Source organism: Homo sapiens, chromosome 6 (assembly GCF_000001405.40).
Source record: "Homo sapiens chromosome 6, GRCh38.p14 Primary Assembly".
NCBI lineage: Eukaryota > Metazoa > Chordata > Mammalia > Primates > Hominidae > Homo > Homo sapiens.
Genome location: NC_000006.12, coordinates 35,750,342 through 35,774,414, shown reverse-complemented (window position 1 = coordinate 35,774,414; position 24,073 = coordinate 35,750,342). Strand labels below are relative to the sequence as shown.

Genomic DNA, 24,073 nt, shown 5'->3' with positions numbered 1-24,073 from the left:
TGGGTCCAAGTTCTTACCACTGATCTACACTGCTGCGGGCGGCCAGAGGGCTTTGGCCCTAGTAAGGGGGTTCCCATCATTACCTAGTAAGGGGGCTCCAGCAGTCGCGGTCTGAGCTCTCTTCATATGTGTGTTCTGCTACCTTGGCTGACTAGCGACCCATCCACGCAGACCATTTGTGAACTGGAGAGGAGGCCTGGGGATGGATACTTCCTTGTACTGCTTCACCGGCTTCCTTTGCCCATACCCCCATGACCGTTAGATACTTGAGAAGTATTGTTGACTGCTTAGGAAAGTGGCAAATTTGAAGGCAAGGGGCCAGCAACTGCGTGTCAGGGTTAGCAGCCCCTGGGGAACCCACTGAAGGCCCTGAGGGGTGGTGAAGCCCCTGGAATTCTGTACAAAATATTATGGGCATGGCTTTTTTTTTTCTTAAGCCAGAGATCTTCCGGTTTCCTCAAAAACAACTAGTTCAGAACCTTTATTTTCAGTTGAGGAAACCGAGGCCCAGAGAAGGCAGGGACTTCTCCCAGTAACTCAGCTGGTGAGTAGCAGAGCCAGGCCTAGCTCTGCTCCTGACTCCAAGTCCTGTACCATGGCCTGCCAGCACCGGTCACAGGCACATGTCCAGGGTACCTCTGCATTGCGGGGGAGTAGGAACAAGATCACCAGGGTCTCCAGCGCCGGGAATCCCTGAGCTGCCTGACCTGTGAGCATGGCCACAGCTCTGCCCAGGGCCCAAAACTGGCCACCTCAGACTTCAGTGAGCAGAAGGGGGTCAGTTCAGGACAGGGGAGCACCTTGCTGGTGGACTTCTTACCCCCTATTTCCTGCCTCTTCACCTTCCCCTCCTCTGACAGTCTCTAACGTCTCACTTCTTTTCTTCTGCATCTTTCTGGTGGTGCAAGTGGTGGTTTCCATGACAATGTTCTCACTGGTCTGCAGCAAAATGAAAACAATAAGGATAATGTAGTAGTGTTTTTGTTAAAGGTAAATATATTCAATTTATTATTATTAAAAAAAAATTTGTTTTTGAGGTGTCACCCAGGCTGTAGTGCAGTAGCGCGATCTGGGCTCACTGCAGCCTTCGCCTCCTGGGTTCAAGCAAGTCTCCTGCCTCAGCCCCCCTCCAAGTAGCTGAGAATACAGGCGCGCGCCACCACGCCCAGCTAATTCTTGCATTTTTAGTAGAGGTAGCGTCTCAACATATTGCCCAGGCAGGGAAATGTATTTAATTTAAAAAGTAATTATTTATTCTGAAATTATGTCTTTTCTACTTCTTTGGTGTTAAAATGTGCTTTTATGAAATAATGGCGATCAGGGGTTCAAGACCAACCTGGCAACAAAGTGAGACCTCTGTCTCTACAAAAAATAAAAGAATTAGCTGGGCATGGTGGCATCTGCCTATGGTCCCAAATACATGGGAGGCTGAGGTGAGAGGATCTCGAGCCTGGGAGGTTGAGGCTGCAGTGAGCCATGCCACTGCACTCCAATCTGGGTGACAGAGATAGACTGTCTCAAAAAAGTAATAATAATTAAATAAAATGGTGATGGTATTTGGAGGTAAAAAATAAAATAAAATATTTAAAAATATATTTTAAAAAAGCAATAATAGCCACGATACAGTAGTAGTTTTGTTTCATTGTTCATGTTCTTTTTTGGCGCATATATATATATATATATATATATATACTTTTTTTTTTTTTTTGAGACCAAGTCTTGCGCTGTCACCCAGGCTGGAGTGCAGAGGTGCCATCTTGGCTCACTGCAACCTCTGCCTCCCAGGTTCAAGCAATTCTCCTGCCTCAGCTTCCCAAGTAGCTGGGATTACAGGCGCCCGCCACCACGCCTGGCTAATTTTTTTGTATTTTTTTTAGTAGAGACAGGGTTTCACCATGTTGGCCAGGCTGGTCTTGAACCCCTGATCTTAGGTGATCCACCGGCCTCCCAAAGTGCTGGGATTACAGGCTTGAGCCACCGAAACTGGCTTTTGGCCAATATATTAAATATATGTGCACAAATTCTGTTAGTCCTCAGAATTTTTTGGAAGTCTTATCAGTCTTTGAAATCCAAAATAAAATTCTGGGGAAAACTGACCTCATGAAAATTGCGCATTACTCAAGTCCTTCCTGAAGGAACTCTAAAAGTAATCTGGGGAGAGTGAGGAACGAGTGGGTGCCCTAAGAGTTTGATATGCAAAGATAGATCAGCAAAGCCTTCCTAGAGAAGAGGACCAGAGTGGGAAGTGTTTGGAGGTGAGGAGGTGGAGGCCTCAAGGTTGTATGTCCCGGACCCTGGCAGGAGAGGGCCGCGCTGTTTTGCTAAGCCTTGAAGGGGGACTGGGATTTGGCAAGCAGAGAGACTAAGGGTTTCCAACCAGGGGTACAGGGTGGGCAAAGGTTTGGAAGTGACAGTGAGTAGCTGTGGGTAGAACAGCAAGGAGATGGTGTCTGCTTGTTGGGGATACAGATTGGAGATGGGGCGGTCAGCGTGCAAAGGAACTTGAGGGTCTGTGGGAATAGCCCCTGTTGAGGTGGCTCCTCAGTGGAAAGCTGGGTTGGTGGTGGCAATGCTAGAGTCAGAGCAGGGGGACCTGAGCCATTGAGCCAGGGGTGCAGGGTGAGGGTGGGGTTGCCCTGCTCTGTCTGTGAGGACAGGAGGGTCTCTAGAAGGAGAGGCCCAGCATGCCCAAGGGAGATCAGCTCTTTCCCAGCTTCTAGTCACCCCACCCACACAACATACTCTGAACCAGGGGCAGGGCTCAGAACACACACTTCTCATTTTACTTCTTCCCGGGACAGGCTGGCCCTGCTGAGAGGCTATCAGCTCAGCTTGGGAGAAAGACAGGCCCGGAGGGAGAAGAGGGAGCTGACCTGCCGCCTCCTCCTGGACTGGGCTGGCCCTTTGACCCTAGGGCTTTGGCCTGAAGGACAGAGTGGGCAGTGGTGTCTGGCGGCCAGGTGTGCTGCCCCATTGCCTTCACCCATGGGAGGGGACTGAGCTTTTCCAAGCAGCTTAGCCTATGACAGGGGCCTTCCTCAGACGGGCCAAGGAGGGCTCCCTACAACCTCTGTGTTCAGGCAAAAGGTTCATGCACAGAGAGGTCTCCAGAGGGGACATAGCAGGGGAATGCCCCGTGCTGCCACCCTGCCCACACCACCTGTGCGTAGGGTGCATGTGTAGACTCGCTGGCTCTAGAGCCCCTTCCTTCTCCCACTCGGTGAGGCTGAGCCACATTTGTGCCTAGTCGCCTTGGCAGTGAGGGCCCCTTGCTTACCTCAAGGAGCCATGAGGGAATCACAACTCCTGTAGCTGCAAGTGAAAGAATTCAAGCCAAAGTATGTAATTTTAACAATAAAAAGCAAAAGAAACAGTATTGGGTCAGTCACCAGGCTGGCCTCAAGGCTCCAAAGAGGAACCACTGACAGGTGTCTCTCTCTTCAGCTTCAGCCTTCAGGCAGCCTCATTTCCTCTCAGGGAGGAAGCCTGCTCTCTGTGGGGGGGAGCAGGGAGCTGTGCACAGCTCTATGCACCTCCCTTCAGCACCCATCTAGAAATTCCTAGAAGACCAGGGGGACTAGGGACCAGAACCTCATGGAACCTGAACAGGGCAGCTCCCCAAAGGCAGGGATATAGGGGGTTGCTGTTTCCTGAGGAATAGGACATGGATGCTGAGTGGGCAGAATTATAGGTGCCCACAACATCCCAAGTTGCCATACACGGAGGATTGCTCTGCTTAAGACCATACCTGGGCCGGGCGCGGTGGCTCACACCTGTAATCCCAGCACTTTGGGAGGCCGAGGTGGGCAGATGATGAGGTCAGGGGATCGAGACCATCCTGGCTGACACGGTGAAACCCCTTCTCTACTAAAAATACAAAAAACTAGCCAGGCGTGGTGGCAGGCGCTTGTAGTCCCAGCTACTCGGGAAGCTGAGGCGAGAGAATGGCGCGAACCCGGGAGGCGGAGCTTGCAGTGAGCCGAGATCGCGCCACTGCACTCCAGCCTGGGCGACAGAGCGAGACTCCGTCTCAAAAAGAAAAAAAAAAAAACATACCTGGATTGAGGAAAAGCTCCCTGGGGCAGGAAGGAGTCATGGACAGTATCCTTTAGCCAAGGGTAACACTGTAGGAAGGGTCCTTGGAAACTTGTTCCCCCCACCACCCCCAAGAAGCCTAAGCTACATTCTATAGAGCAATGGATCTCAATCACTTTTTTTGACTACAACCCATGGTAAAGGTACATTTCACACAGGTATTCAGACAACTAGTAGCTCCAATTAGTTGGTGTCTGTGTTATGCTGGTTTGATGATCACCACTGCAAACATGTGTGTGCTCGTGCATATATACAATGTGTAGGTGTGTGTATGGAACTAAAGTTTCACAAAACAATACTTACATTTACCATATGTGATCTTATCTGAGATTTTCTATTCTTTTCTATTTCATCTTTTAAAAGTGCTGGTTAGGGGCTGGGCATGGTGGTTCATGCCTGTAATCCCAACACTTTGGGAGGCTGAGGCAGGCAGATCACGAGGTCAGGAGTTCCAGACCAGCCTGACCAACATGATGAAACCCCGTCTCTACTAAAAATACAAAAATTAGCCGGGCGTGGTGGCACGTGCCTGTAACCCCAGCTACTCAGGAGGCTGAGGCAGGAGAATCGCTTGAACCCGGGAGGCGGAGGTTGTAGTGAGCCGAGATTGCACCACTGCACTCCAGCCTGGGTGACAGAGTGAGATTCCGTCTCAAAAAAAAAAAAAAAAAAAAAAGCTGGTTAGGATGCACCAAATTGGTTTCATTGTCCACTTATGATCCATCAATTGCTCTACCATTCTGTTGAGTCCACTAGGTTCGTCTGTCCAACTCACTGTATACATCTTGGTGGTCTCCATTCCATTTACCTATTCATTCATCATTCATTCATGTATTCAACAAACGTTTAGTGATACCTATCGTATGTCAGGTACCTTATCAGAGCTCAGTTGCAGATAACAGATACCATCCTACTTATTTTAAGCAGAAAGGAATGTAATACAGATAATTGAGGGCTGACGAAGACATTGAAATGACTGCAAGAGTGGAAACCAGACTGAGCCTCCAGGAATGACTTAAAAAACAAAACAAAACAACCCTGCAGAACTGTGCTACCAGGGGAGCTACTACCCCTGCTGCCATCAGGCAGGTGAGGAGGTAGGTAGTCATCACTGCAGTCCCAGGAACACACACCTTAGCTGTGATATCGGGTTCAGGAAGCTGCCATGAAAGATTATTGCCTGCCAGGTGCAGTGGCTCACACATGTAATCCCAGCACTTTGGGAGGCCAAGGTGGGAAGATCGCTTGAGCTCAGGAGTTCAAGACCAGCCTGAGCAACATAGCAAGGCCTGGTCTCTACAAAAAATTTTTTAAAAATTAGTCCAGCATGGTGGTGCACCTGTAGTCCCAAGCTACTTGGGAGGTTGAGGTGGGAAGATCATTTGAGTCTGGGAGATTGAGGCTGTAGTGAGCTATGATTGCATCACTGCACTCCAGCAAAACTATTGCCTATAGGCAGGTGTGGTGGCTCACTCCTGTAATATTAGCACTTTGGGAGGCCAAGGCAGGAGGGTTGCTTGAGGCCAGGAGTTTGAGACCAGCCTGGACAACATAGTGATACCGTTGTCTCTACAAAAAAAAAAAAAAAAAAAAAAAAAAATTAGCTGGGTGTGGTGGTGTGCACCTTATAGTCCCAGCTACTCAGGAGGCTGAGGTGGGAGGATCACTTAAACCTAGGAGTTTGGGGTTACAGTGAGCTATGATCATAGCACTATACTCCAGCCTGGGCAACACCCCTGTCTCTAAAAAAAAAAAAAAAAAAAGTATTGCCTGTGTCTTCCCTAGCCAAAACAAAACAAAAAAAGTATGCCTCCCAAAAATGCCACTGCCCTCCCTTACCTCCATGAAGATTAGGCTTTAGGCAGTGCATGTGATCAGCAATCACACCTAGGTCTACCACTCTAGTGTTTAGCTTTCCTGCCCTGCAGTGCAGGAAGGGACACCAGAAGGAGATGAAAGAAAAGCTGAACAAGCCATGCTACAGCAGCCACTATAGGGAAAAGTGCCTGGAGGTGGCGAAGGTTACCTGGAGAGGGTGAAGTTAGTCTTCTACTTCCTATTTGAAATCTTTTCAGTTTTTACAGCTGCAAATCACTTTTTTTTTTCTTTTTGAGACAGGGTCTCACTCTGTTGCCCAGGCTGGAGTGCAGTGGCATGATCATAACTTACTGCAGCCTTGGCCTTCTGGGCTCAAGTGATCCTCCTTCCTCAGCCTCCCAAGGCTAGGACTATAAGTGCACGCCACCACACCTGGCTTTTTTTTTTTAAGCCTTTTAAAGATTATTCGTCTTTCAGTGCTTCAACATGATGCCAAAACAATAATTTACTGAATACAAATAGCAAGGAAAGGAATCAAACATTTATAAAATATATTTATTATTTTTCTGACCAAAGTGCAATGATTTAAAAATTTTTTTAAACAACTATAAAAAAAAGTATTCAAGAAAATAAAATACAAATGGGAAATTTAACTAGATTGCTTCTTCTAATTAATCCTAACCTTGTATTTGGTCTAGAAAATGAACAAAAAATCATTTGAAGTGTTACTAAAATGCTAACTGAATCATTTTAGCATAAATCTAGTCACATGCATTTCAAGGTTCCACTGCTAGGAATTTTGTTAAGATCAGTTGAATCATGAATAACACCATATAATAGAGGATGAGGAACACAAGTATTAGATGTGATCCTTGCCCCATACCCTTAGATTATGTCAGAATAAAGCTGACAGTTCTGCCAGGCTCTGAACCTCTAGTGCTTCCAACCCAAACCTTGGAAGCAAAGAATATGCCCTGTCATACAACATTGTTCAAGTTGTAGTAAAACAAAGCCTATGTTTTCTTACTTTTCTATAGGAAATTGTTAGTTATTTGATATATATTAAAACACTGCTAAGAATCCACTTTGAGTTTGTTTACTAAACACATTGTGCAAGAACTGACTCCACAAAAAGTTCCTTTGAAATCTGGTCCACAAATTCACTTAAGGTTGGAAATTTAAAACTTGCAAGAAAAGGAGGAAGTGGGTATCCCTAAATCCTAACATGTTGTAATTACTAAAGGGACATACACACATACGAAAAAGTTTTGCTCATAGAAGGCACAAACTATGAAAGGAATAGTCTTTTTGAATAAAAAAAAATAGCTTGATACGCTTCTTTGTTTAGTGAGCACCATAACTAAGATGAAGTTATGTCTCTTAATTAACTCTCTTCTGTGACGAAAAAAAAGTACATAAAAAACTTAATTTGTCTTACCTATACTTTCCAGCCACTAGGTGAGATGTAGTTTGAAAGATTAAAATTGCCTTAAAAAGGGGTCGCGATAGCAGCTATCAAAGCAGTATTCAAGCAAGATTTCAAGGATGCTTTCAGGTTTCGAATTAGTTTTCCTGTCAAAAATCTTCACAACTTCAAAAACTTAATCAACAGATTGGGAAACATTTATTTTCTTGACTTTCCCCCATTTCTTTATATAAGTCAATAATTGGCTTTGTTGACTGAAGATGGGTCTCAATTCTCTTTCTCAAGCTCTCTCTGTTGTCATCACTCCTACCGCTACTCTTTCCTCTCTCAGGACATCATTCAATACAGATCTTATTATTACAGTTAAAAAACCACACACACACAGAATGAAAGATACATCTATCTGCCTTCCCATTCAACCTTTTTTTTTCTTTTTTTTCTTTTCTTTTCTTTTCTTTTTTCTTTTTTTTTTTTTTTTTTTGAGACGGAGCCTCGCTCTTGTTACCCAGGCTGGAGTGCAGTGGCATGATCTTGGCTTGCTGCAACGACCACCTCCCGGGTTCAAGAGATTCTCCTGCCTCAGCCTCCCGAGTAGTTGGGATTACAGGCGCGCCCCACCACGCCTGGCTAATTTTTTGTATTTTTAGTAGAGACGGGGTTTCACCATGTTGGCTAGGCTGGTGGTGAACTCCTGACCTGAGGTGATCCACCCCCCTTGGCCTCCCAAAGTGCTGGGATTACAGGCGTGAGCCACTGCGTCCGGTCCGTTGTTCCAACCTTGAAGGTTGTCTTGATTTCTTGGAAACCCATCCATCGATCAAAGATGTACTCTTTTGAGCACTGACAGCCATTGTCTGATCCATTTCCCTCTTTAATAAACTGATGGTTATCTCCACTGGTCCCATGTTTCCTTCTTTAATGTAATTTTCAGTGAGTTCACCATACTGTGAATCTGGGCTCTTCCTTTCATCATGAAGTAACTCTCCTGCAGAAAGGTGTGTGTAGCCATCTTTCTCAAGGATGCCAGCGCGCCGGGACCGCCGTGGACAAACACGACCAGCGGCTTCATGAGACCGGGAGGGCAGCGAAGAATCGGCCGGCAGGTCTGCAGCGGGAAGCTAAGGCCCAGGACGTGGAGCAGCGGCTCAGGCAGTGGCTCAGCCTGCACCGCACCTCGGAGCTCAGAGGGCTGACAGGTGCGGCGTGTGCCGGGGAGGCGGTGTGGGAAAGGGGCGGGCTGCCAGGGCATCTGCCCCACGGTCGGAAGAGAGCTTCTTATTTTTTTAATTTATTTTATTTTATTTTTTATTTTTTGTACAGATGGGACATGTTGCACAGGCTGGTCTTAAACTTTTATTTTTATTTTTATTTGAGACAGAGTCTGGCTCTGTTGACCAGGCTGGAGTGCAGTGGCGTGATTTCTGGTCACTGCAACCTCTGCCTCCTGGGTTCAAGAGATTCTCCTGCCCCAGCCTCCTGAGTAGCTGGGATTACAGGCGTCTGCCACCACGCCAGGCTAATTTTTGTATTTTTAGTAGAGACGGAGTTTCACCATGTTGGCCAGGCTGGTCTCAAACTCCTGACCTCAGGTGATCCGCCTACCTCGGCCTCGCAAAGTGCTGGTAATATAGGAGTTATTAAGAAACTATTTTAGGCAGACAGTAAGGGTAAGGAGTCCTCAGTAAGGCTTATTCTTTTTTTTGTTTTGTTTTTGTTTTTTGAGACAGAGTCTCACTCTCGCCCAGGCTGGAGTGCAGTGGCGCAATCTCGGCTCACTGCAAGCTCCGCCTCCCGAGTTCACGCCATTCTCCTGCCTCAGCCTCCCAAGTAGCTGGAACTACAGGCGCCCGCCACCACGCCCGGCTAATTTTTTTGTATTTTTAGTAGAGACGGGGTTTCACCATGTTAGCCAGGTTGGAGGCTTTTTCTTTTAATAAAAGCACCCCCCCACCCCAAACATTTCAGGGTTTTTTTGAGACTCACTCAGTCACCCAGGCTGGAGTGCAGTGTTGCGGTCTCCACATCCCGGGTTCAAGCGATCCTCCCTCCTGCCTCAACCTCCCGTGTAGCTGGGATTACAGGCGCCTGCCACCAGCCCGGCTAATTTTTTGTATTTTAAGTACAGACAGGGTTTCACCATGTTGGCCAGGCTGGTCTCAAACTCCTGACCTCGTGATCCGCCCCGTCCGCCTCGGCCTCCCAAAGCTTTGGGATTATAGGCGTGAGCCACCGGGCCCGGCGGCAACATTTCTTTTCTAACAGAAAAGCAGGCTGGCAAGCTTTGATATGCAAACACAGGCTGTCAGAAACTAGGTCCATCCAACGTAGCGATTCCCGCCCTCTTCTCCTTGTCCCAACGTGTGTCAGGTGTCGTGACCACCTCCAGATGGCTCTAAGAATGCAGGACATCAAGGATACCTGCATTTGCATATTAAAAGGCTAAGGTGGGAGGACCAGGTTTTTCGCAGGCTATGTGAATGACACACCTGGTCAAACCAATCCCCTGGGCCCTATGCAAATCAGACACTGCCTCCTCCAGCCTCCCAATATAAAGGACTACTTTCCGCGCACACGGGGTTTGTCCGTTTGGAGCCCCGCTCCCTCTGTACGGGGGAGCCGTTTTCTTCTTTCTTTCTTCTTTCTTGCCTATTAAACTTTCCGCCCCTTAAAACAACTCCACGTGTGCCCGTGTCGTTTATCTAATCAGCGAGAGAGAAAGAACCCTGGTGTTTCTCCAGTCATGGGAGCTGTATCACTAGGATTGCAGGCATGAGCCACCACGCCTAGTCTGGTCTCAAACTCTTAGCTTCAAGGGATCTTCCTGCTTCTGCCTCCCAAAGAGCTGGGATTACAGGTATGAACCACTGTGCCTGGCCCTATACCACATTTTCTCTACCCATTCATCTGCTGTTGGACATGTAGGTCGATTCACTATCTTGGCTATTGTGAATAGTGCTGCAATAAACATGAGAGTGAAGACGTCTCTTCCATACTGATTTCCTTTCCTTTGGATAAATGCTCAGCAGTGAAACTGCTGGATCATATGGTAGTTCTGCTTGTAGTTTTCTGTGGTACCTGTGAAAGGAAAATAAATTTGCTGCCCCAAAATCACTAAGCTAAAGGGAAAAGTCACGCTGGGAACTGCGTAGAGTAAAGCTGCCTCCCATTCTATTCAAAGTCATCCCTCTGCTCACTGAGATAAATGCATATGTGATTGCCTCCTTTGGAGAGGCTAATCAGAAACTCAAAAGAATTGCAATCATTTGTGTCTTGTCTACCTATGAGCTGGAAGCTCCCTCCCCACTTCGAGTTGTCTCACCTTTCCAGACAGAACCAATGTTCATCTTACATATGTTGATTGATGTCTCTTATCTCCCTAAAATGTGTAAAACCGAGCTGTGCTCTGACCACCTTGGGCACATGTGATCAGGACCTCCTGAGGCTGTGTCACAGGTGCACATCCTCAACATTAGCAAAATAAACTTTCTAAATAAACTGAGAGCTGTCTCAGATATTTGAGGTTCACATACCTACATACTGTTCTGCATAGTGGCTGTACTAGTGTACATTCCCACCAATAGTGTGTATGAGTTCCTTTTCCTCCACATCCCTGTCAGCATTTATTTTTTGCCTTTTTGATAATAGGCATCCTATTATCAAAATGTGCAATTCCCTGATGATTAGTGATGGTGAGCATTTTCTTCATATAATTCTTGGCCATTTGTATGTCTTCTTTTGAGAAATGTCTGTTTAGGTCATTAGCCGTTTTTTTTGTTTGTTTGTTTGTTTGTGTGTGTGTGTTTTTTTTTTTGAGACAAAAGTCTCACTCTGTCTAATCTCATGCCTTCTGACCTAAGTTGTGATAAGAGAAATGTAAACCGAGATCATACCTGTCAGAAAGACGTATCATTTTCTTCCTAAAAGACTGCTACAGTTTTGTAATACAGTGGGTTGGTCAAGGTGTGGGAAAATATTATTGGTAAGAGCAAAGATTGATGAAACTTCTTAAAAGGGAAATTTGGCAATAACTAATACACCTCTTTGATCTAATAATTCCACTTCTAGGAATTTTTCCTACAGAAATATTCCCATATATGCCAATATATAGTTCCTTGCAGCATCATTTGTAATGATCATAAATAACTTAAGGTCTGCCAACTGGTTAAATAAATCATGGTACATTCGTACAATGGAATTCTTTTTCTTTTCTTTTCTTTTTTTTTTTTTTTGAGACAGAGTCTTGCTCTGTCACCCAGGCTGGAGTGCAGTGGCACAATCTCGGCTCACTGTAAGCTCTGCCTCCTGGGTTCACGCCATTCTCCTTCCTCAGCCTCCCAAGTAGCTGGGACTACAGGCGCCTGCCACCATGCCTGGCTAATTTTTTGTATTTTTAAGTAGAGACGGGGTTTCACCGTGTTAACCAGGATGGTTTTGATTTCCTGACCTCGTGATCTGCCCACCTCAGCCTTCTAAAGTGCTGGGATTACAGGCGTGAGCCACTGCACCTGGCCTGGAATTCTTTTCTTGAGACAAAATCTCACTCTATCACCCAGGCTGGAGTGCAGTTGTGTGATCTTGGCTTACTGCAACCTCCACCTCCCGGGTTCAAGCGATTCTCCCACCTCAGCCTCCTGAGTAGCTGGGACTACAAGTGTGCACCACCACGCCCGGTTAATTTTTTTTGTATTTTTAGTAGAGACGGGGTTTCACCATATTGGCCAGGCTTGCCTTGAACTCCTGACATCAAGTGATCCACCCTCTTTGGCCTCCCAAAGTGCTGGGATTACAGGTGTGAGCCATTGTGCCCAGCCCATTTGCCCATTTTTTAAATCAAATTGTTTGTTTTTTGTTTTTTGTGGGGTTTTTTTGGTTTGTTTTTGTTTTTGTTTTTTTGCTGTAGAGATGATTGAGTTCCTTGTATATACGGGATATTAATCCCCTGTTAAATGAGTACTTTGCAAATATTTTCTCCCATTCTGTAGGTTGTCTTTTCACTCTGTTGTTTTCTTTGTGGTGTAGAAGCTGGTTTTGTTTTGCTTTGTTTTGTTTTTGAGACGGAGCCTTGCTCTGTCACCCAGGCTGGAGTGCAGTGGCGTAATCTCAGTTTACTGCAACCTCTGCCTCCTGGGATCAAGCGATTCTCCTGCCTCAGCCTCCCAAGTAGCTGGGATTACAGGCACACATCACCACACCTGGCTAATTTTTGTATTTTTAGTAGAGACGGGGTTTCACCATGTTGGTCAGGCTGGTCTCGAACTCGTGACCTCATGGTCTGCCTGCCTCGGTCTCCCAAAGTGCTGGGATTACAGGTGTGAACCACTGTGCCTGACCTGTTTTATTTAATCCCACTTGTTTATTTTCCCTTCTGTTTCCTGTTCTTTTGAGGTCTTATTCATAAAATATTTTCCCAGACCAATGTCCTGAAGTGTTTCCCCTATGTTTTCTTCTAGTTGTTTTATAGTTTCAGGTCTTCCATTTAGATCTTTGATCCATTTTGAGTTGATTTTTTTTTTTTTCTTTTTTGAGACGGAGTTTCACTCTTGTTGCCCAGGCTAGAGTGCAATGGTGCGATCTCAGCTCACCGTAACCTCTGCCTCCTGGGTTCAAGTGATTCTCCTGCCTCAGCCTCCTGAGTAGCTGGGATTACAGGCATGTGCCACCATACCTGGCTAATTTCATATTTTTAGTAGAGACAGGGTTTCTGCATGTTGGTCAGGCTGGTCTCAAACTCCCAACCTCAGGTGCTCCGTCCGCCTCGGCCTCCCAAAGTGCTGGGATTACAGGCATGAGCCATCGTGCCTGACCTAAGTTGATTTTTATATAGGATGAAAGGTGGGGGTTTCATTCTTCTACATTTGAATATCCAGTTTTCTCAGCACCATCTATTGAAGAGATGGTCCTTTCCTCAATGAGTGTTCTTGGCACCTTTATCAAAAACCAATTGGCTGGCCAGGTGCAGTGGCTCACACCTATAATCCCAGCAGTTTGGGAGGCTAAGGCAAGAGGATCGCTTGAGCTCAGGAGCTTGAGACCAGCTGGGCAACATAGTGAGACCCTACCTCCATTAAAAAAAAAAAAATTAGCCAAGCATGGTGGTCACACCTGTAGATACTACTACTTGGGACTAAGGCAGGAGGATCGCTTGATCCCAGGAGTTTGAGGCTGCAGTGAGCCATAATTGCACCACTGCACTCCAGCCTAGGTGACAGAGTGAGACCCTGTCTCAAAAACAAAACAGTTGGCTGTAGATACATGAATTAATTTCTGGTGTCTCTATTTGGTTCCATTGGTTTACATGTCTGTTTTTATGCCAGTACTATGCTGTTACTATGGCTTTGTAGTATATTTTGAAGTCTGGTAATGTGATACCTTCAATTTTGTTCTTTTTGCTCAGGACACTTTGGTTATTCGGGGTCTTTTGTGATTCTATGCAAATGTTAGGGTTTTTCTATTTCTGTGAAGAGTGTCAGTGGTATTTTGATAATTGCATGGAATCTGTAGATTGCTTTGGGTAGTGATATGGTATGGCTCTGTGTCCCCCCTCAAATCTCATCTCAAATTGTAATCCCCACGTGTCAAAAGAGGGACCTGGTAGGAGGTGATTGGATCATGGGGACAGGTTCCCCCATGCTGTTCTGGTGCTATTGAGTGAGTTCTCACGAGATCCGATGGTTTAAAAGTGTAGCACATCCCCCTCGCTCTCTCTCTCCTGCCGCCTTGTGAAGGAGGTGCTCACTTCTCTTTTACCTTCCGTTATGATTCTAAGTTTCCCAAGGCCTCCCCAGCCATGCAGAACTGTGAGTCAATTAAACCTCTTTTCTTTATAAATTACTCAGTCTCGGCTGGGCGTGGTGGCTCACGCCTGTAATCCCAGCACTTTGGGAGGTCGAGACGGGTGGATCATGAGGTCAGGAGATCAAGACCATCCTGGCCAACATGGTGAAACCCCGTCTCTACTAAAATGCAAAAAAATTAGCCAGACATGGTGGCGGGCGCCTGTGGTCCCAGCTACTCGGGAGGCTGAGGAGCGTACCCAGGAGGTGGAAGTTGCAGTGAGCCAAGATCGTGTCACTGCACTCCAGCCTGGCAACAGAGCAAGACTCTGTCAAATAAATAAATAAATAAATAAATAAATAAGTCTCAGGTAGTTCTTTATAACAATGTGAAAATGAACTAATACAGGTAGCATGGAGCGTGCCTTCTAATTCCACAAGTTACACTCCCACCTATGCCTAAGAGTCCTGTCTCTATGCTCCTTAACTACAAAATCTCTATTCCATGGCCTCTTTGTCTCCTAGACTCATATTTGACTCCAACATCCCCCAGAATACAAGTATCCAGGGTGATATGCGAATGGAGAGATTCCACAGTAAGAGTTAGATTCCCTTTGTCATCCTGCCTCACCCCTACTGACAGGGCTGTACCAGACACAGTGGCCCACATTTCCAGCTCTTACAAACAACAAAAATTTGCCAACCGTGTCCTGAGAGGATGTCACTGATGCTCAGCAGTTAGCTTTGATGGTTTCCAGTGTTAGCAGACAGGATACATTACACAGTGCCTCCTCCCCACTTTCCAGTGATGTGGCCTGGAGTATCTTCGGCCTTGGGGAATCTTCCCCCAGATTCCACCCATGGGTCAAATTTTAGGAATCAGCTCACTCCCTTAGAAGCAGCTGTGATTCTCATGCTTGTCCTGATAGTCTGGACCTTCTGGTGCTCTCTGTAGAAACAAGGAAACATCAGGAGATTTAATCCCACTTCAGGAACTCAGCTCTCTTTCTCTCTGTCTTCATTTCCTCTTCTCACTGCATCTCAAAAAATACATAAACTTTTTTTTGTTGTTTATTTTTGGGCTTTTTTTTGAGACACAGTTTCACTCTGTCACCCAGGCTGGAGTGCAGTGGAACGATCTCAGCTCACTGCAACCTCTGGGCTCAAGTGATTCTCCTGCCTCAGCCCCCCAAGTAGCTGGGACTACAAATGCGCGCCATCATGCCTGGCTAATTTTTGTATTTTTAGTAGAGATGGGGTTTCCCCATGTTGGCCGGGCTGGTCTTGAACTCCTGACCTCAAGTTATCTGCCCGCCTCGGCCTCCCAAAGTGCTGGGATTACAGACGTGAGCCACAACGCCCGGCCAAAGTAGGCATCACTTTGTTTGTTTGTTTGTTTGTTTGTTTGTGACAGAATCTCACTCTGTCTCCCCAGCTAGAGTGCAGTGGCACAATCATGGCTTACCGCAGCCTCGACCTCCTGGCTCAACCCATCCTCCTACCTCAGCCTCCCTAGTAGCTGGGATTACAGGCGTGTGCCATCATGCCTGGCTAATTTTTCTCTCTTTTTTCTTTTTTTTTTTTTTTTGGTAGAGGTGGGGTTTTGCCATGTTTCCAGGCTATTCTCAAACTCCTGAGCTCAAGCAATCTGCCCACCTCAGCCTCCCAAAGTGCTGGGATTACAGGCATGAGCCACTGTCCCTGGCCATCACTTAGTTTTGACTGTAGGACTCCTTGGCCCAGCTCATGGGAAAGAACATTCTAAGGTGGCAATGACTGAGCAACTCGGGGGCAATAAGGGGATTTTGAGGAAAGGAAGACATTGGAGAGGAAAGGGGGCCTCCCAGGCTGGGGTTTTGGTTTATTCTTGGGCTCAGGGGGAGCAGGTGTTGTAGAGGGGGAAGCTCCCTCCATGCCCTTCCTGCTTCTCTCAAAGGAATCCATGTCATGTTCCAGGACACACAGATGGCCATAGTTACTTGTGGGGAGGAGTCACAGTCATTAAAGGCTCACACTGGAATGTAGCATTGAGTATTCTTCTTCCCATCCTTGAGTGGAAGAAGAGAACTGACCCAGTGCCTGGACCCTTGGAACAATCACCTGTTGTATTGATTACCTTCTTGCATAAACGAATTCCCCCAAAGTTTAGTGGCTGTATTAGTCTGTTCTCACACTGCTATAAAGAACTACCTGAGATGGTAATTTATGAAGAAAAGAGGTTTGTCGATTCACACTTCCACAGCCTGTACAGGAAGCATGGCTGAGGCATCAGGAAACTTACAATCATGGCGGAAGGCAAAGGGGAAGCAGGCGCATCTTACCATGGCAGAGAGAGCAGAGGGGGAAGTGTCGCACACTTTTAAACCATCGGATCTCATTGAGAACTCAGTCACTTTCATGAGAACAGCAAGCGGGGATCTGCCCCCATGATCCAATCACCTCCCACCAGGTCCCTCCCCCAACATTGGGAATTACAGTTCGACAGGAGGTTTGGGTGGGGACACACAGCCAAACCATATCAGTGGCTTAACTCATTATTTTTTATCTCATGGTTTCTGTGTGTCAGGAATCTATCACAGCTTAGCCATGTAGTCTGGCTCTGAGTTTCTCACACTGGCTGCGGTTGCAGTCATCTTCAGTTTCCACTGGGGGGTGCATTTGCTTCCAGGCTTATTCGAGAGGTTGTTGGCAGGTTTTGGGTCCTTACAAGCTGTTGGATTGACAACTTTGGCTCTGCAGAGTCTGTTGGCCTGGGTCCTTCCCGGGTTCCTTACCATGTAGGCCTGTCTACAAGGAAGCTCACAACTTGGCAGCTGCCTTTATCAGCATGAGCATGTGAAAGGGCAAGAGAGAATGGGAACAAGAGGAATCACAGTCTTTTGTAATTTAATTTCAAAAGTAACATGCGGCCCGGGCGCAGTGGCTCACGCCTGTAATCCCAACACTTTGGGAGGCCGATGCAGGCGGATCACCAGAGATCAGAAGTTCGAGACCAGCCTGGCCAACATAGCAAAACCTCGTCTCTATTAAAAATTTAAAAAAATTAGCTGGGCATGGTGGCAGGCACCTGTAATCCCAGCTACTTGGGAGGCTGAGGCAGGAGAATTGCTTGAACCTCGGAGGCGGAGGTTGCAGTGAGCTGAGATTGTGCCACTGCACTTCAGCCTGGTCGACAGAGCGAGACTCCATCTCAAAAAAAAAAGAAAAAAGGAACATGCTCTCACTTTGCCATATTCTAGATTAGAAGCAAATTACTAGGTCCAGCTCAGATTCAAGGGCAGCAAATTAAACAGGACATATTTAAGAAGTGGGGGTCACTGGGATAGTTTTAGAAGGCTGCCTACCACATTTGCCATTTATTATTATCAGAGATGTATAAAGGTTGTATTTGATGATGATAAAAAAAATTCCTGTTTCATAAAAATGAAACCAATCTCGGCCGGGCGTGGTGGCTCATGCCTGTAATCCCAGCACTTTGGGAGCCCAAGGTGGGCGGATCACAAGGTCAGGAGATCGAGACCATCCTGGCTAATACAGTGAAACCCCGTCTCTACTAAAAATACAAAAAATTAGCTGGGCATTGTGGCGGGCGCCTGTAGTGCCAGCTACTCGGAGGCTGAGGCAGGAGAATGGCGTGAAATCAGGGAGGCAGAGCTTGCAGTGAGCCGAGATCGTGCCACTCCAGCCTGGGTGACAGAGTGAGACTCCGTCTCAAAACAAAAAACAAAAAACAAAAAAAGAAATGGGGGTCTTGCATGGTGGCTCACGCCTGTAATCCCAACACTTTGGGAGGCCAAGGCAGGTGGATCACCTGAGGTCAGGTCAGGGGTTCGAGACCAGCCTGGCCAACATGGTGAAACCCCCGTCTCTACTAAAAATACCAAAAATTAGCCAGGCGTAGTGGTGGGCGCTTGTAATCCCAGCTACTCAGGAGGCTGAGACACAAGAGAATTGCTTGAACACGAGAGGCGGAGGTTGCGGTGAGCCCAGATCGCGCTGTTGCACTCCAGGCTGGGCAACAAGAGTGAAACTCCTTCTCAAAAAAAAAAAGAAAAGAAAAGAAATGGGGGTCTTGCTATGTTGCCCAGGTTGGTCTGGAACTCCTGGCCTCAAGTGATCCCCCTGCCTGTCCTCCCAAAGCACTGGGATTACAGGTACCCGGCCCCTGCTTTAAGTTTTAAGACACACCTGGGGACTCCAGCCAAGTTTTGCTTGAGAACCCTGTGTTGAGGTCCTACTGGAAGCCATGCAGTGGGGCTGGAGTTCCCTTTGTGTCTGTCTCTCATACATCTCCTTCAGGTAATCAGTTAGAGAAGTAACTGGCCATCTGCCTGGCCAAAATCATCTACCAGCACCCTACCCCATCACAATCCCATCAGAGGGAAACTCTGATTGGTTTCCCTTCCTGTAAAGTCCAACTATCCCAACCTGGAGAGCTCTTCTCTCTCCTCTCTGGAGATCCAATTCAAGCCACTCCTCTTCTCTGAAACCTTAGAATTAAATGAGAAGATGAGAAGAGATGTTTCTTTGTAAATAGAATTGCCTGAGGGTCAAAGAGGCCTGTAGTTGAGAAAACAAGCTAAACAGCTGGAAAAAAAGACAGAGGGAAAGGATGGAGTGTCAACTACTGGTTATAAAATTTCTCTTCTTCTTGGCAGGGATTGTCTCTGTGGGGATACAGATGCATCTAGCTGCTGAGCACACAGTAGGTGTCCAATTAGTCTTTGTTGACAGTGTCCCTGTAGTGGTTTTTAAATGCTCACACATTCCTTGATATTCTTCCCTTTAATAGGTAGAGCCTAACTGCCTTCCTTTGAATGGGGGCTAGACTGACTTCTAATGAATAGAATGTGGCAGAAGTGACAGTGTATGACTTCTGAGGTGAGGTCAGAAAAGGCATTGCAGCGTCTGCTCTGTTCTCTCCTGGACGATTTACTATAAGGGAAGCCAGCTGCTATGTCATGAAGACTCTCAAACACCCCTGTGGAGATGCCCACGTGTAGAAAGACTGAGGCCTCCTGCCAACAGCTGGCACCAACTTGTCAGTCCCATAAGTGCGCTGTCTTGGAAGGGGATCCTCCAGCCCCAGTCAAGCCTTCAAATAACAACAGTCCTTGGCAAAAGCGTGACTGTAACCACAGCTTGACTGAGCCAGAACCACCCAGTCAAGATGCTCTCAAATTCCTGTGAGAAGTAACATATGTTTATTGATATTTAAATGACTAAGAGGAAGGGAGCTGGAGAGACATTTTGGGAGGAAGAGGTTTTTGCTTCCTGGTTCTAGTGTGCTTGATTGACAGGCTCCTGCTCTGCAAACAGCTTTCAGTGCCCAGTTCCCAGAGTAACCAGCAACACCCAGTGGCTAGCAGCTTCTCCTGGCACTGTCCACCTTGGGCTGTAGTGTAAGCAGAATACCTCCAACTTCTGCCTCACATACCACCTGCGTGCATGTGGCTTCTGCCGCATCAGGCTCCTGCAGCACCCACAGGTACTCCAGTGCCGCCTCCCACAGCACATGAAGGCCAGCAGCACCCAGTGGGAAGCAGCTTCCCCTGCACACCCCACTCAGTTAGTTCTGTAGTCGAAAGTCTCTGGTTCCACACCTCCTTGGGAAAGAGCTTTCCCTGGCATCCTAGAGGGCATATTTCTGGCAAGTTCCACTGGCATGACAGTACAGTGACTTTTCTGCCACCTAGTGAGCTGTGGGCTGTGCTCTACTCAACAAGGTCTGGATCTCAGCCCTGGGTGGGGAGAGGGTATCTCTTTCTTGGGTGCTGTATCTTGGGAGGTAGGGGCTGCTCCTCATGTCAGCTATTCATTATTCCATAGGGTTCTCATAACTCCTTACTAAACAATTCTTTGTTACTCCAATCCCCTGTTTTAATAATCATATTAAAATTTCCTGTTAAATTACTGTGAGGTTTCTCTCTTGATCAGACCCAAGCTGATACACAAGTTTTCTCATAATTTGTTACATGGCAGCAGATAATACACCACTCCCATCTGATCTTCCCACTGCCAATTCCTTTCATTACCATCAGCCAATTGCCATTATCATGTGCCTGCCCTGAGCAGGCTCTTCCTTCAAGGTTTTTTTTGTTTTTGTTTCTGTTTTTGTTTTTTTTGAGATGGTGTCTGGCTCTGTCGCCCAGGCTGGCATGCAGTGGCGCGATCTCCGCTCACTGCAAGCTCTGCCTACTGGGTTCACACCATTCTCCTGCCTCAGCCTCCCGAGTAGCTTGGGACTATAGGCGCCCGCCACCACATCCAGCTAATTTTTTGTATTTTATTTTTAGTAGAGATGGGGTTTCACCACGTTAGCCAGGATGGTCTCCATCTCCTGAACTCGTGATCCGCCCGTCTCGGCCTCCCAAAGTGCAGGGCATGAGCCACCACGCCCGGCTCTTCAAGGCTTTGGTAAGCAGTCAGATATGTCCTACTGCAGGCAGGCCAGGCACAGTGACTCAAACCTATAAACCCAGCACTTTGTGAGGCCGAGGCAGGCAGATCGCTTGAGGTCAGGAGTTCGAGACCAGCCTGGCCAACATGGCGAAACTTGGTCTCTACTAAAAATACAAAATTTAGCCAGGCATGATGGTGCGTGTCCATAATCCCAGCTACTCGGGAGGCTGAGGCAGGAGAATCGCTTGAACCTGGGAGGCAGAGGTTGCAGTGAGCCAAGATCGTGCCACTGCACTCCAGCCTGGACAATAGAGCAAGACTCCGTCTCAAAAAAAAAATTAGCTGGGCATGGTGGTGGGCACCTATAATCCTAGTTACTCAGGAGGCTGAGGCAGGAGAATCTCCTGAACCTGGGGATGCAGAGGTTGCAGTGAACCAAGATCATGCCACTGCACTCCAGCCTAGGCGACAGAGTGAGACTCCATCTCAAAAGAAAAAAACCACAAAGAACAAAAAACATATGTCCTACTGCAAAAAAGAATAAAAGAACAAGGTATATAAGATTCAAGCTTTAATTTGCCAAATGCCAAGTGAGAGGTTCAGATGAGAAGTGCTGCAGGGTGCACCAGAGGCTAGTATGCTTGAAAAAAGATCTAGGCTGCAGTGGGACGTCAACTTTGATGACACTAGAAGGCACAACCCAGTTGGAAGAAGAGGGAAGGCCATTCTAGCATTCTAGGCAGCAGGAAAGTTGTATCAAAAGTAAGCCAGGTGCGGTGGCTCATGCCTGTAATCCCAGCACTCTGGAGGCCGAGGTGGGCAGATCACCTGAGGTCGGGAGTTTGAGACCATCCTGGGCAACATGGAAAAACCCCGTCTCTACTAAAAATACAAAATTAGCCAGGCATGGTGGTGGCGCATGCCTGTAATCCCAGCTACTTGGGAGACTGAGGCAGGAGAATCGCTTGAACCCAGGAGGTGGAGGTTGCGGTGAGCCGAGATATCGCGCCCTTGCACTCCAACCTGGGCAACGAGCAAAACTCCGTCTCAAAAAAAGGAAAAAAAAAAAATGTTTGGAGGCATCTTCTCTTTATAATAGTAATTTAAAGAAAAAAAAAGAAAACATGTTTGGAGCAAGAGTACACATGGTATGATTAGGGCAGCAATGACTAGTTTGCTCCAGTTTGGCTGGAGCAGAGATGTGGCACAGTAGGCTTGTGGCAGGCAAGAGGATCACACTGTGAAGAGCCTTGAATGCAAAGCTAATTCATTTGGTTTCGTCATGTAAAAAAGGGGTCCAGTGACCACATCTTTGAGGACAAAACTCAACCTTTTGCTGAGAATACATTTATACCTGTCAGATCACGTGACTTTGCTTTGATGCCGAGAAAGATTTCACCATGGCAATGGGGAGCCCCTGAAGGTTTTTGAGAATGGTGCCATGTGTGATTATAAAATTAGCCTGGAGTGCGTAGGGCTGGAGAGGATGGAAACCAGGAGGAGGAAAAGTCAGGCCCAGTGTGGTGGCTCACACCTGTAATCCCAACACTTTGGGAGGCTGAGGAAGGTGGATTGCTTGAGCTCAGGAGTTTGAGACCAGCCTGGGAAACATGCAAAACCTCGTCTTTACAAAAAAAATACAAAAGATTAGCTGGGCGCGGTGGCACACTCCTGTAGTCCCAGCTACCCAAGGAGGCTGACGTGGAAGGACCACGTGAGCCTGGGAGGTCGAGGCTGCAGTGAGCTGTGTTTGCTCCACTGCACTTTAGCCTGGGAGACAGAGTGAGACCCTGTCTCAAAAAAAAAAAAAAAGAAAGAAAGAAAGAAGTAGGCAAGTCCTGATGTGGAGGACAGGGCAGTAGCAGTGGAAATGGGGGAACTAGGTGGATGTGGTGGGGAGGAGAATTTGAAAGTGATGCCCAACACCTTGTTGGTGACATGGGCACACATGGAGCTGGTCGAAAGGAAACGTCGGCATTTGACAAGTTCCACTGGGGTGGCTGCAGTGTATTCAGCAGCAAGAAGGAGCAGCCTCAGGCCTGAACTCAGGAGGGAAACAAGGGATGCTGATTCAGATCTGGTAGTGACTGCCCACTCATTCTGGGAGACAGTGACGGGGTTGGCCTCTCTATAGGCTCTGGCTCTTTCTCATCAGCCCATCCTCATCAAGAAACACCCTCCCTCTTCCACCTGAGTGATATGACCTTGGGCCAGGGATTAAGTGGGGACAGATTTCCTTTAAGTACTTCAGTCCTAAACTGGCCTCTAAAATCCAGAAGCATCAAGATCCTCCTCAGTTTCCATAGGTTTGGGCTTAGAATCCATGACCCACTCTTACGGGGCTTGGACCGAAGAATGTGAGGGCAAAAGAAAAGCTCAGTAGTAGGAGGTTCTAATCCTATTTCTGCCCTAGACCAGTCATGTGACCTTGAGCAAGTCACTTTTCCATTTTGGGTTTGTTTTCCTTTCAGGAAAATGCCAGGGTTGGTCCTGGACGAGACTAGTTTTCAAATCCTGCTTCTGAAGAACACCGGGAGCCCGTGGCTGGACCAGGTTCTTTGTCCTAGATCGAGCAGTCTCAGGCTGGGAATAGCTCCAACATTAGGTTTCTCTCCCGTAGCATTTTCTTAAACCGTTAGCAATCCTTACTGTTTCCCAGCAAGGATTCACAGATAAAACAGTGAATGAGGGCTGGGCGTGGTGGCTCACACCTGTAACCCTAGCACTTTGGGAGGCCAAGGTGGGGGGATCACGAGGTCAGGAGATCGAGACCATCCTGGCCAACATGGTGAAACCCCTTCTCTACTAAAAAATACAAAAAATTAGCTGGGTGTTGTGGCGCGCTCCTGTAGTCCCAGCTACTCGGGAGGCTGAGGCAGGAGAATTGCTTGAACCCGGGAGGCAGAGGATGCAGTGAGCTGAGATTGTACCACTGTACTCCAGCCTGGCGACAGAGCGAGACTCCGTCTCAAAAAAACAAAAAAAACAATGAAGGAACAACTGGGAAACGCAAATGAATGGGGAATTGGAAAATGGATGACCATATTTGGTTTGACAGTCTTCTTGTTTCTGGAAACTTCATGGTTATGGTGTTATATTACTCACACCATTGTTCTGGTTTCCAAAGCTAAGTTTCAATGACTTTTCAGCACGCTTCATAGAGGACTCTAGGACTCCCCAGTGCCCATAACCTGAAGAGACTGGAGAAATGCTGGAGGCAACACTCTCCAAGGACCTCCCCAGTGATGATCTTTTGTTTTCTCAGTGATGATTTCTTTTTTTTTTTGAGATGGAGTCTCGCACCTCTGTCTCTGAGGCTGGAGTGCAATAGCGTGATCTCAGCTCACCGCAACCTCTGCCTCCCGGGTTCAAGCAATTCTCCTGCCTCAGCTTCCCAAGTAGCTGGGATTACAGGTGCCCGCCACCACATCTGGCTAGTTTTGTATTTTTAGTAGAGACGGGGTTTCTCCGTGTTGGTCAGGCTGGTCTCGAACTCCCGACCTCGGGTGATCCTCCCGCCTCAGCCTCCCAAAGTGCTGGGATTACAGGCGTGAGCCAC

General features: G+C 47.2%; 1 pseudogene, besides 5 other annotated features; it reads right to left on the bottom strand.

Moving 5' to 3' along the window:
* Nucleotides 1–151: 151 nt before the first annotated feature.
* On the bottom strand, nucleotides 152–8,474 carry CMPK1P1 (CMPK1 pseudogene 1; annotated as a pseudogene).
* Nucleotides 3,202–3,261: an enhancer, noted in NCBI's record as "active region_24414". NCBI's record gives its function as "activates an Ori minimal core promoter by ATAC-STARR-seq in GM12878 lymphoblastoid cells {active_cell/tissue: GM12878}" and the evidence as "EXISTENCE:reporter gene assay evidence [ECO:0000049][PMID:35858748]".
* Nucleotides 3,317–3,517: a silencer, noted in NCBI's record as "peak5778 fragment used in MPRA reporter construct". NCBI's record gives its function as "represses an SCP1 promoter by STARR-seq MPRAs in K562 erythroleukemia cells {active_cell/tissue: K562}" and the evidence as "EXISTENCE:reporter gene assay evidence [ECO:0000049][PMID:32103011]".
* Nucleotides 3,912–4,011: an enhancer, noted in NCBI's record as "active region_24413". NCBI's record gives its function as "activates an Ori minimal core promoter by ATAC-STARR-seq in GM12878 lymphoblastoid cells {active_cell/tissue: GM12878}" and the evidence as "EXISTENCE:reporter gene assay evidence [ECO:0000049][PMID:35858748]".
* Nucleotides 4,837–5,037: a silencer, noted in NCBI's record as "peak5777 fragment used in MPRA reporter construct". NCBI's record gives its function as "represses an SCP1 promoter by STARR-seq MPRAs in K562 erythroleukemia cells {active_cell/tissue: K562}" and the evidence as "EXISTENCE:reporter gene assay evidence [ECO:0000049][PMID:32103011]".
* Nucleotides 18,598–19,187: an enhancer, noted in NCBI's record as "NANOG-H3K4me1 hESC enhancer chr6:35723005-35723594 (GRCh37/hg19 assembly coordinates)". NCBI's record gives its function as "activates a minimal SCP1, AML or CMV promoter by ChIP-STARR-seq in naive H9 embryonic stem cells {active_cell/tissue: H9 hESC(naive)}" and the evidence as "EXISTENCE:reporter gene assay evidence [ECO:0000049][PMID:30033119]".